Source organism: Homo sapiens, chromosome 5 (assembly GCF_000001405.40).
Source record: "Homo sapiens chromosome 5, GRCh38.p14 Primary Assembly".
NCBI classification, from domain to species: Eukaryota; Metazoa; Chordata; class Mammalia; order Primates; family Hominidae; genus Homo; species Homo sapiens.
In genome coordinates this window covers 87,240,862-87,253,037 of record NC_000005.10, presented here as the reverse complement: position 1 = coordinate 87,253,037, position 12,176 = coordinate 87,240,862, and the positions used below count along the sequence as shown (strand labels likewise).

Genomic DNA, 12,176 nt, shown 5'->3' with positions numbered 1-12,176 from the left:
CAGTGAGCCAAGATCGCGCCACTGTACTCCAGCCTGGGCGGAAGACTCCACCTCAAAAAAAAAAAAAAAAAAAAGAGGCCAGGCGCGGTGGCTCACATCTGCAATTCCAGCACTTTGGGAGGCCAAGGCAGGCGGATCGCGGATCACAAGGTCACGAAATCGAGACCAACCTGGCTAACACGGTGAAACCCAGTCTCTACTAAAAATAGAAAAAATGAGCCGGGTGTGGTGGCCCGCGCATGTAGTCTCAGCTACTCAGGAGGCTGAGACAAGAAAATCGCTTGAACCTGGGAGGCGCACGTTGCAGTGAGCCGAGATCGCACCACTGCACTACAGCCTGGGCGACAGAGTGAGATTCCGTCTTAAAAAAAAAAAAAGGCACCGGCATGGAAGTGATGGCAGCCGCTGGCTGTCTGATGTGGCTGCTGCCATCACGCTGGGCACGGCAAGGGGAGGAGGTGTACAGCCCACCTTCCGCCCTCCCCGCTCCCTGCAGCCCGCTACCTTGGGGGCCGTGGTGATAAGGCCTGGCATGGTTGCGCTGAGCTCACAGGCGGTGCTCCAGCCAGTCCCTGAGCGCTGGGACACAGGGGTAGCTCATAGCAAGCTCGCCCCTATACCAGATGGTGGCGCAGGTCAAGGGATGACCTGGAGCCCCCGTCCCTGGCTGCCAGGAGGTGCGGCTGGGTGCCCACTGCGCCAGTGGGAGCTGGGAACAACCGGGAGCCCTGCTCTTTCCAAGTTGGCCAGGCGGGAGCTCTCCAGGTACAACTGCAGCCACCCAAGCGGGCTGCATTCCGGCCCCGGTGCTCTTGGGAACCCAGAGTAGCAGGAGCCCCGCCCAAGAGGCGGGGCATCCCTGAACTCTTAGGAGGTCTGAGAAGGCCCCCCTTCCCCTCGCAGGCTCAGAGGTACCTGCTCCAGCTGCCTGGCCTCTCCCCACTCCCGGCGCCAATCAGATCTCCGATTGGGGTTGGGGCTGAGCTAGGGTGCTGTCACATCCCCTCCGGGTGTGTGCACGGGTCAGCGGTGACACGTCAGCCCCCTGCTACCTCAGCCCTCTCCAGACTTTGGGAGTGGAGAAGCGTGAGGGGAAGCTGAGGGGGAGCTGAGGGTACCTGGGCACTGCAGGTTCCCCTTGGTGCCAGCCATGGATGCCAGGGGAAGCAGACATGCTCCTGGGCGGAAGTGGGTGGGTGACCCGTGAAGTCCCACCTTCAGGCCAGGGCAGGCCTCAGCCTGGGGGCAGGTTGGCCAGTCCTGCTGATGGGAGGGGGATTCATGGTGCTTTTTCCTGGGCCCGCCCATGGCTGCCCATGGACCAATCAGCATGCACTTCCCCCCTCTAAGGCCTATAAAAGCCCTGGGCTCAGTCAGCGCAGGAAAGAGGACCTGATGACCAGCTGCAGAGAGCAGCTACGGTTGTCAGGAGTTCGAGACCAGCCTGGCCAATATGGGGAAACCCTGCCTCTACTGAAAATACAAAAATTAGCTGGGTGTGGTGGCAGGCGCCTGTAATCCCAGCTACTCGGGAGGCTGAGGCGTGAGAATTGAGAATCCCTTGAACCCTGGAGGTGGAGGTTGCAGTGAGCCGAGATGGGCCACTGCACTCCAGCCTGGGTGAAAGAGCGAGACTCAGTCTCGGAAAAAAAAAAAAAAAAAAAAAATAGAGACGACCTACCCTCTCTGCCGTTAGAGGGGACAAGACTACCAGCTGCAGGGGAACTACCCTCTCCAGGGCCTCCTCTGAGCTGTTTTAACACTCAGTAAAGCTCCTCTTGGTCTTGTTCACCCCACTGACTGCGAACCTCATTCTTCCTGGATGCAGGACAAGAACTCAGGCAAAGGTGCCACCAACCACAGAGGTTTCTGTCAGGAAAAGTGACACTGCAAAGCTCCCGTAACAGAAGTAGTAAAAGTAAGTATTGAAAAGGGGAAGAACCCAAACTGGGGCCTGTGTGGGGGGATGGGGGGTGGCGCGGGGGGTGGGGGGCGCGGCAGGAGACCATTAGGATAAATAACTAATGCATATGGGGCTTAATACCTGGGTGATGGGTTCATAGGTGGAGCCAACTGCCATGGCACACATTTACCTATGTAACAAACCTGTATGTCCTGCACATATATCCCAGAACCTAAAATAAAATAAAATTTTTTTAAAAAATAATATAATCTAATGATAATAATAAAAGAAAAGCTGAACTAAAGGGGATAATTTGTAAAAAGAAGTAGTGGAAAGGAGGGAAAAGCAAATTGAGGAAGGCCCTCAATTTGTTAAATTTGTGACAATTTGTTATATAGCAAAAGAAAATTAGCACAGCACCTATAACTTTATTATAATCTGCAATCTTTAACTTATATATTAAATATTTGTATCATATCCTGCTTTTGAATTTTTAGACACTGATACCCTCAATTTATATATTTTTTGGCCTTAATTATCTAAGTCTTAGGTTTAATGGCCTCTGGTATGGATTCGTTGATAAATTGCATTTGGGTTATCATTTTAATTTTTTAGAATAACTTATTAGAAGATTAATTATCACTGACAGACCATAACCTTTTCCTCAATCTTAGTTAATCATATAATTCAGTTGAGAATGCTTTTGGTTACATGTTGAAAATGCAAATTGATGTTCGGATATTAATTATGAATAATCATCTTTGGTACTACACATAAAGGTATGAAACCATGGTGTGTGTGGGCATGTGTGTGTGTATGTGTGTGTGTGTGTGTGTATGTGTGAGACAGAGAGATCTATAGTTTATAATTTGCATGCTTTTAAATTTCAAATGGGTATTTAATACTCTTATTTTTTCCTGAAGTGCAAATTGATGTTCGGATATTAATTATGAATAATAATCTTTGGTACTACACATAAAGGTATGAAACCATGGGTGTGTGTGGGCTTGTGTGTGTGTGTGTGTGTGTGTGTGTGTGTGTATGTATGTGTGAGACAGAGAGATCTATAGTTTATAATTTGCATGCTTTTAAATTTCAAATCGGTATTTAATACTCTTATTTTTTCCTGAAGTTTCAGCAATAGGTTTAACAACCTTTTAAATGTTAATTTTCAGTTAATCAACATTTTAGATAATGACAAATTAATTAAGTGGGTTTTTTTGGTGGTGGGATGGATGGTGCTTTAGTTTTACTTTTGAATACAATTTCATTTATATATGCACAGAAGTATACAAATCATAATGTACTGCTCAATTGATTTTCGTAAAAGAAGTGCTCCCAAGAAATCAGCACCAGGTCAATAAATAAAACAATGACAGAATCTCAGAAACTTCTTTCCAGTTCCTACCTCGCTTACCCTAATGGTAATCACTAACCTGACTTCCAACACCAGAGATTAGCTTTGCTTACTTCTGAACTTCATATAAATGGACTCATACCAAATATTCTCTTTTGTGTCTGTATTCTTTATCTCAGTATTATGTTTGTGAAATTGATTTCTGTTGTTGTAGCTCATTCATTTTATTGCTATATTGTAGTTTATTGTATAAATAAACAATAGTCTCTTCTGCTGTAGATAGATGTTTGGCTTGTTTCCAGTTTCTGGCTATTACAAATACTGCTGCTATAAACATTCTTACCCATGTCCTTTGTGGAACATATATACACTTTTTTTGGGTATTTAGTTAGGGTTAAAATTTCTTGGTCTGGGTGCAGTGGCTCACACTTGTAATCTGAACACTTTGGGAAGCCAAGGCAGGAGGATTGCTTGAGCCCAAGAATTTGAGATCAGCCTGGGCAACATGACAAGACCCCACCTCTAAAAAAAAAAAAAAAAAAAAAAAAGAATCTAGCCAGGTGTGGTAGCATGCACCTGTGGTCTCAGCTACTCAGGAGGCTGAGGTGGGAGAATTGCTTGAGCCCAGCAGGTCAAGGCTGCAGTGAACCGTGTTTGTGTACTGCACTCCACCCAGGGTGACAGAGTGAGCCTGTCTCAAAAAATTTTTTTAATTAAGAAATTGCTTGAATTTATGTTATACATGTTCAGCTTTACTAGATATTGCCAAATAGTTTTCTAAAGTGTTGTTTCAATTTACAGGCTGAGAAACAAACATAAACTCCAGTTTCTCCACATCTTCTCCAGCACTTGACATTGTCTCATACTTATTTTATTAAATTTTTTTTTTAGAGTTGGAGTTTTGCTATGTTGCTCAGGCTGGTCTCAAACTCCTGGGCTCAAGCAATCCTTTTTTTTTTTTTTTTTTTTTGTGGAAAATACAAGAGGTCATAAGAGTTGCCAGATCAAAGGGAAATTGTAAGACCACTGATAATTTTTGCTTAATATTTTTAAATAGTAATCTTCTTACTGACAGCATATGTAGCCCAAGCCCAATTTAATGCTCAATTAAGTAACAACTATTTTAGACATTAAAATTAACATTTTGGCTTCTTCTTTTTATCATTTTATTTTTTTATTTGTGTTTATTCAACTTTGTGAATGATTTATGTTAAGTCACCTCAAATCCTTTTTGAAAAGCAATGATGTATAAATAAATACTGTTAAGACCATCAAGCATCTTCTATACACTACAGAAGCCAAAGTATTTAAAAAGCACGACACATTATTTTTTTTACTGTTCCTTCTGGATCCTATAACCTTACTTTCTATGTAACATCATGACATCCATGCTGATTTTTCTTCCTAACCATTTAGTCAAACTTTAATTAGTGAATTTCTGAAACCTTATACACTGATTTCTGAGAACATTGATTGTATATTTATTTGAATCTTTTCCAATTTTATACACCATATTTAAAAGGAAGATAGGGTAAAGTTCCGAAGTATTAATTGCAAGTCCAACCATAAATTTAATAGTATAGCTATTCTAAGTGAAGTAAATTATGTTTCATGAACTAAAAATGTAAGTATAAATGATATTCTTCCTACATTCAAAATAAATTTGAGGTGGGTTTGTAGACTAATTTACTCTAAGCTTCTTTCATTTAAATGTAAAATATTAATGCAAATATATATAATATACATTACACATGCCTTTTTCATGTATTGTTTTTTATTTTAGTATTTTTTATTTAAAGATGATATATTAATGTCACATGAATGTATATAAATAATACAAGATATGTGGTTATTAAAACTATCCAGAACTTAGTTCTAAAATCACAAGTATAGTTTCATATTTTGCCTTTCTTATAATTATCTTACCTTTACCATGTAACATATCAAAATTTCTTTCATTCATTCATTCATTCATTCCACATATATTTATTAAATGCCTACTATAGGACAGGATATCAGTTTTTTTTGTTTGTTTGTTTTTGTTTTTTTTGAGACGGAGTCTCACTCTGTCACCCAGGATGGAGTATGGTGGCACAATCTCGGCTCACTGCAACCTCTGCCTCCCAGGTTCAATTGATTCTCCTGCCTCAGCCTCCTGAGTAGTTGGGATTACAGGTGCGTGCCACCATGCCCGGCTAATTTTTGTATTTTTAGTAGAGATGAGGTTTCGCCATGTTGGCCAGGCTGGTCTCGAACGTCTGACCTTGTGATCTGCCCGCCTCAGCCCCACAAAGTGCTGGGATTACAGGCATGACCCACCACGCCAGGCACAGGATATCAGTTTTCTATTGCTGCATCACAAATTTTCACAAACTTAGCAACTTAAAACAACACAAATTTACAAACTCACAGTTCTCTAGGTCAGAATTCCAGATGCAACATGACTGGATTCTCTCCTCAGGGTCTCATCAGGCTGAAATCCAGGTGTTGGCTGGGGCTGCATTTCTCACTCTGGGCTCAGGTTTCTGTCCAGGCTCGTCCAGGTTGTTGGCAGAATTCAGTTTCTGGGGCAGTAGGACTGAAGTCTCTGATGTCTTGCTGGCTGTCAGCTGGGGGTTGCTCTTAGCTTCTAGAGGCTGCCCACCATTCCCTGCCATGTGACCTTGTCCACAATATGGCAGTTCCTTTCTTCTGAACGTGTCATATGCTTCTCTCTGACTTCTGAAATCAGCAGAGAAACACTGAGTTTTTAAAGACTCATGGGATTAGGTCAGGCCCACCAGGATGATCTCCCTTTCTTAAGGTCAATGATTTGGAACATTAATTACACCCCTAAAATCTCTTCACAGCAATTCTTAGATTAGTGTTTGAATAAGTAGGAGAATACATCAGAGGCTGGGAATCTTGGAGGGCCATCTTAGAATTCTGCCCAAAACAGCCAGATATTTAACTATGTGTCCTGTTACTTAGCACCCATTAGTGAAAAAACAGATAAAAATTCTAGTCCACGTGGAGCATACATTCTAAGAGAGTTTAAGGGGAAAAGTGTCTATACTGTTTATTTGTATTGTCTTATCACTTCCGGAGTTTTAGGAGATAGCCAGATATAAATAGTCATCAGAATAAGCAAATATACCTGTTTTACATTTTTTATCCTCAGCTAGTATTCAGTTAACTATTTTTAACAGATGGCATTTTTTCTCTGTATGTGCTTATAAATGTGTATATAATGAAAATGTCCGAGTTGTGTTGAGCACTTCTTTTTTTTATTTTAGTCCCATGGAATTTCCAAATGCGGGAAGGGACCTCAAAGATCATGCTATATTTTGTTAGCATTTAAGAGTAAGGCAGTCAAAAAGAGACTTTTCTTGTTTATATTTAATGAAATGCCAAGGTGCTATTAGATGTTTTTTGAATATGTATACTTCTTTTCAAATGATCACAGATGTGACCATCCCTAATGAGTGCATTTCTTGAAATAGAGCAGAAACTCAAGTAACAAGAATGGGCAGGATACCAAGGAAACAGACTAATCAGGCAGATGGTGACTATTTTGTAGGGAAAGTCTGAGTAAACCAATAGCTCTACAACAGGGATCTGAAAATAAAGGAACATTAGTGAGCATGAAAAAAATGTTTTTTTCATATTTTTTCATTACCTTATAAAAATTAGATTTACATACACATTTTTACCTATTACCACAGACTATATGATGAAACTTAGTTTTTCTTTCATTATAATGTTTTCATATTAGCAAAATTTTGTCAAAAAACAACTTTTTCATAATTAAGATGCAGTAATGGATTTCCTTTTTTTTGCTCTACCTTCTGAGTTCTTGCAATACTTTTTGAAACCTATTGGTCTTTTAAAATTTCTTAATCATTTTGAAATGAATTGATTTTTAAATTGAATAAAATAGATTTATATTTTGTGTAAAATATAAACATCACAATAAACTGAAATACATTTGCCAAAGAACAACATTTTTTTGTAAAAAACAGAAGTAAAAAAACATCCTAGCAGGAAACCAGGAACGGAATAAAAACACAAAAAGGTATCTCGGGCACAATGCCCTGAAGGTCAACAACCATGGCCAAGAGCATGAGGTAATGTCAGGAATAAGAAAACACCCTGGGTTGGATCCTTGACACTCTGATCCTAAGATCATTAGTGATTGTGCAAAAATGTAATGTGTAAAGTGACTTATAAAGTTGTCAGGTGAATGTTGCTTCTCATTTCTACTTGACAAAACCCTGGTGAGGCAAAGCAGTTCTTATTCCCATTTTACAGATGAAGATATACATATAGAAAAATTAGTTTGCCAAAATTCGTAGTTGCCAGAGTGGCAGAGCAAGAACTAAAACTGAGTCTTCTAATTCTGAATTCAGTGCACCTTGGGATTTAAGAATGGAATGATCAGGAGACAGAGAGGTTATCAGTTGAAGAAACAAACTTTTTTCCACTTAGCATCTTAATATATACATAGCCTGTATTTGACTTTATTCTTACTATAGCATACTGCATTTAGTGTATAAAGATAATGCTTTGGGGTTAGTGTTACATAAAAAAAATCCCTGTCCTTAGTTTCTTTCTAAAATTTGTGAAGGGTTTAAATTGTTTCATGGACATTTCATTGCACAAATTTGTTTCTCTTCATATGAACTGTAAGAAATCAAAAAGAGTGGCTGGATGCAGTGCTCAAGCCTGTAATCCTAGCACTTTTGGAGGCCGAGGAGAGTGTATCACTTGAGGTCAGGAGTTCAAGACCAGCCTGGCCAACATGGTGAGACCCCATCTCTACTAAAACTACAAAAAAATTAGCTGGGTATGGTGTCATATGCCTGTAATCCCAGCTACTCGGGTGGCCAAGGTGAGAGGATCGCTTAAACCTGGGAGGCAGAGGTTGCAGTGAGCCAAGATTGCAACACTGCACTCCAGCCTGGGTGACAGAATGAAACTGTCTCAAAAAAAAAAAAAAAAAGAGAAAGAAAAATCAAAAAGAGCAACCACACGCACACAGACAAACACACACACACAAAGGAAAATCTGATGGGCTGGACAGGGGTGAATCCCTCACACTGATTTCATGATGCTAAAGATACTTTCTACAAACATACAAGGTCATTGCAGTAGGGTAGGAAAGGTGAATTTAAAAAAAGGCAGTGAAGAGGAACCAGGTTTTTAGGGGCCTGCAATCTGATGAAAGCACAAACACTGTCTGGTGATTTGTTCTTCTCTTAAAAGAGAACCACTCTCTTAAGAGGCACAGTTGTTCTATATGAGTCTTCTCCCCTCCCCTATCTATTACAAAGTAAAAATAATACCTTAAGAAGAGTAGGAGTAAATAGACTACTTCCACCTCCTCCCAACATCTATAATCCATAGTAACCTGTAGCCTTCTAGAGAGCAAAGACTGTTGTATATACTCTTAAATTTTTCCTTGAGTATGGGCAGAAACACTAAAAATATTATTGTTTACAAGCATGTATATATGGAAGTTTTTGGCACAGGCTAACCACTGTTTACTAGACCCTTTTCCTTTTATTCTTGGATGAACCACTAAACATTACCTTGCAGTTAGGTATGAATTCCTTGCAGTTAGGTATGAATTCGCTGCAGTTAGGTATGAATTCCCTGCAGTTAGGTATACCCATTAAGATGAAATCCAGCCAGTGGAATATTAGAGAAAGTACTGTGTGTCATTTTTAGACCAGGTCCATGGCATCCTACATGCTCCTTCCTTTTTTCGCTTGTTGGATGTTGATGCCCAGTGTGTTCTTGGAAGATGTGTATGCAAGTCAGCAGTCTCCTTTAGTCCTGGTCCCTGGATGACTGTGGTGGACCAAAAAACAAACAAACAATGCTACATGAAAACCTTCAGCTGCCTTGGTCTGCTTATGTATAAGAGAAATAAATTTTCATTATATTTGAATCATTATTTTGGGTCAACTTCTTATAGCTGTTAGGCAGTTAACTTACCTTAACTAATTTGTTAAGTGCCCTAGACAAAGTGCCCCATGAGAGAATACACTTGTGATTTCCTTCTTTCTTTGTGACTGAGAACAGTTGCCAACTTCCTCCCTGTGGCCTTGTCTTTCTGCCTGAGAGTCTTCACTATTGCCTAACTTCTGAGCTTGTTGTATCATTTCTGGATAAAACAATGTGTTGTCATATCATTTTGTGTTCAAAAGTGCTAGCCACTCCAACCCTAATCTCAACTGTTTCATGTCTGTTAAGTCGAAGTACCCTAGCCAGTTCAGTTGAAATTTCCATTTATTCAATATAATCCTGGATGAGAAGCGGTCAAGATTTGATAATCCTTAAGTGGCACGGTTGGTCCACATTTGAACCTGAGGCACCAGAGAGGCCAGGGTATTACCAACTTCCATGCTTTGCTATGACTCACCAGCACTGTGAATGTTACTCTGCTGTAGTCAAAGCAAAGCTGGACTGAAATTCTCTGTCTTTCCCAACACTAATGGATCTAAGGGGAATATTAGAAGCACAACTGGAATTGTTATGAAAGAAGTTAGATTTGTAATCTTGAGGCCTGACATAGCAGAAAGTGGGTTAAACATTTACACTCTGAAGTGTATTATTTACACTCCAAAAAGGGTAGGGGCCATCCTAGTTATAAATAAATTCATTCAGATGTGGCTAATATGATACTTTAGGTACAGAATGAAGAACAGGAAGGGTAGTGGCACCTATTAAGTGGACTTCACAATCTTTTTTATTTCTGGTAACAGCTTTTCATATACATGGGAACATGATGGGACTTTATTTGCTTATTCATTTCTTTAAAAAGCTTTTCATTTTGAAAAAAGTTCAAGATTAGAAAAAAGTTACTAAGTATGACACAGAATTCCTATATTTACTTCATCAAACTAGTCTTAGCATCTTACCACACAGCAAGTATCAAGCAGGAAATATTGAGAAAATATTAACTAATTTATAGATCTCATTCAAATTTCATTATTTATTTCCCTAATGTTTTTATCTGATCCACACATTGCATTTAGGTGTCGTGTCTCCTTGGTCTCTTCCAATCTGTAAGAGTTCCTCAGTCTTTCCTTGACTTTCAGTTCCCTGTCTTCCATAACTTTGATACTTTTAAAGATAACTGGTCAGGTTCGTTTTTGTTTTTTCTTGTACTCACTGACAGCAGATGGTCAGGTATTTTGAAGAATGTCCCTCAGTATGTGTTTGATGTTTCCTCATAATCACATTCGGTTTAGGCATTTTTTGCAAGACTAGGACAGCAGTCTTTCTGTCTTTCTCAGTGTGTCATAGTAGAAGACACATGATTGATACATCTCAGTACTGATTATGTTACCCTTGAGACACATTGATATCATGTGCCCCTTGACATTATTCACTGAGAAAAGGCACAACATGTTCAGACATGCTCTTCTCCTTTTCATTGGCTGAATGTTTTTGTTTAGAGTGACCCTGGAAGTTATCTGTGGTAGATAAAACCTCCTTCAGATTGGGTCCCCAAATGATTGTGTGGAGCAGAATCACCTCCAGCTTCACCCACTAACTTAGAGTTATGTTGGTCTGTTCATGTGTAAGAAAAACAAACTTTTATTGTGTTTGAGACATTGTACATTTTGGTTCTTTTCACCCTCTTCAGCTTCCCAAAGTGCTGGGATTACAGGCAAGAGCCTGTAGAAGAGTCATTTGCCTACTTCATTACATTACCTAGGATTAGTTAGATTCACTTCCCTGCTGGGGAAAGCACTTCATCCAAAAACATTTCTGTGATTTTCTTCTCTTTTATTGATAGTTGCTAAGTCTGTCTCTGTAGCACACATCTCCCATCAATATTTCTATTTAGTTCGTTTCAAACTCAAGTACCCTGAAATATTTTAAGTTTAACATCCCACTCCTATCTTTAATTGTACCATATTTCAAGTTGTCATTAAGAACCCCCAAATTCATCTTTTTTCACGGTATTTAATAAGATTTATCAACATGTTCACCAAGTATTATTTTTTACAGACATTGCTTTTTGCATTCTGCATACTTCAGCAGTTATTTTAAAGAGGGTCTGCAAGTGGTACATTCTGTCTTATTCTGAGAAATGTTTATTTCACAATACATCTTGAATGATAGTTTTGCTCTTTGAAAATAACTCTTTTCTAGTATCAAACTTGTAAAACTGAAAATGGATTAAATTCACCTGAAAAATACAGAGATTCCCAGATTGGATTAAAAAAACTAAGTTTAGGCTATATGCTTTTTTAAAGAATCACACCCAAAATATAATAATCTCAAGAGGCTGGGCGCAGTGGCTCTTGCCTGTAGTCGCAGCAGTTTGGGAGGCTGAAGCGGGTGAATAGCTTGAGCTCAATAGTTCGAGATCAGCCTGGCTAACATGGTAAGACCCCATCTCTACTAAAAATACAAAAATTGGCCAAGCATGGTGGCACACACCTGTAATCCCAGCTACTCTGGAGGCTGAGGCATGAGAATCACTTGAACCCAGAGATGAAAGTTGCGGTGAGCCGAGGTTGCACCACTACATTCTACCCAGGGCTACAAAGTGAGATTTTGTCTCATAATAGTAATAATCTCAAAAGACTGAAATTATATCAGGTGCTCAGATAATGTTACTTTGTTATAATGTTGATGGGAAAAAAAATTAATTCATGGTTGAGGCTAATGTCTTTGTGAAATTTGCACCTTTTCCCCATGTCTGTGTGGATTTTCTCCAGGTACTCCAGTTTCTTCCCACATCCTGAAGATGTGTATTTCAGGTGGGTGGGCATGTGTCAGCGATCTCAGTCAAGGTGAGTGTGGGTATATGTATGAGTGTGCCCTGTGTTGGGATGGTGTCATGGCCAGGGTTGCTTCCCACCTTGTATCCTGAACTGCTGAATGGGCTTTGGCCTCCTGTAACCTGAACTGGAG

The 12,176-nt window shown here is 39.9% G+C and overlaps 1 long non-coding RNA gene across 1 annotated transcript in view; it reads right to left on the bottom strand.

The window, feature by feature from the left end:
* Positions 1–5,016: 5,016 nt before the first annotated feature.
* LOC101929380 (uncharacterized) overlaps positions 5,017–12,176 on the bottom strand; it is a 127,874-nt gene continuing 120,714 nt past the window's right edge. The window contains exons 3-4 of the long non-coding RNA NR_105018.1: positions 8,831–9,092; positions 5,017–5,981 (exon numbers count right to left, since the gene is read on the bottom strand). This is a non-coding gene — a long non-coding RNA (uncharacterized LOC101929380). The remainder of the gene's footprint in view (positions 5,982–8,830; positions 9,093–12,176) is intronic.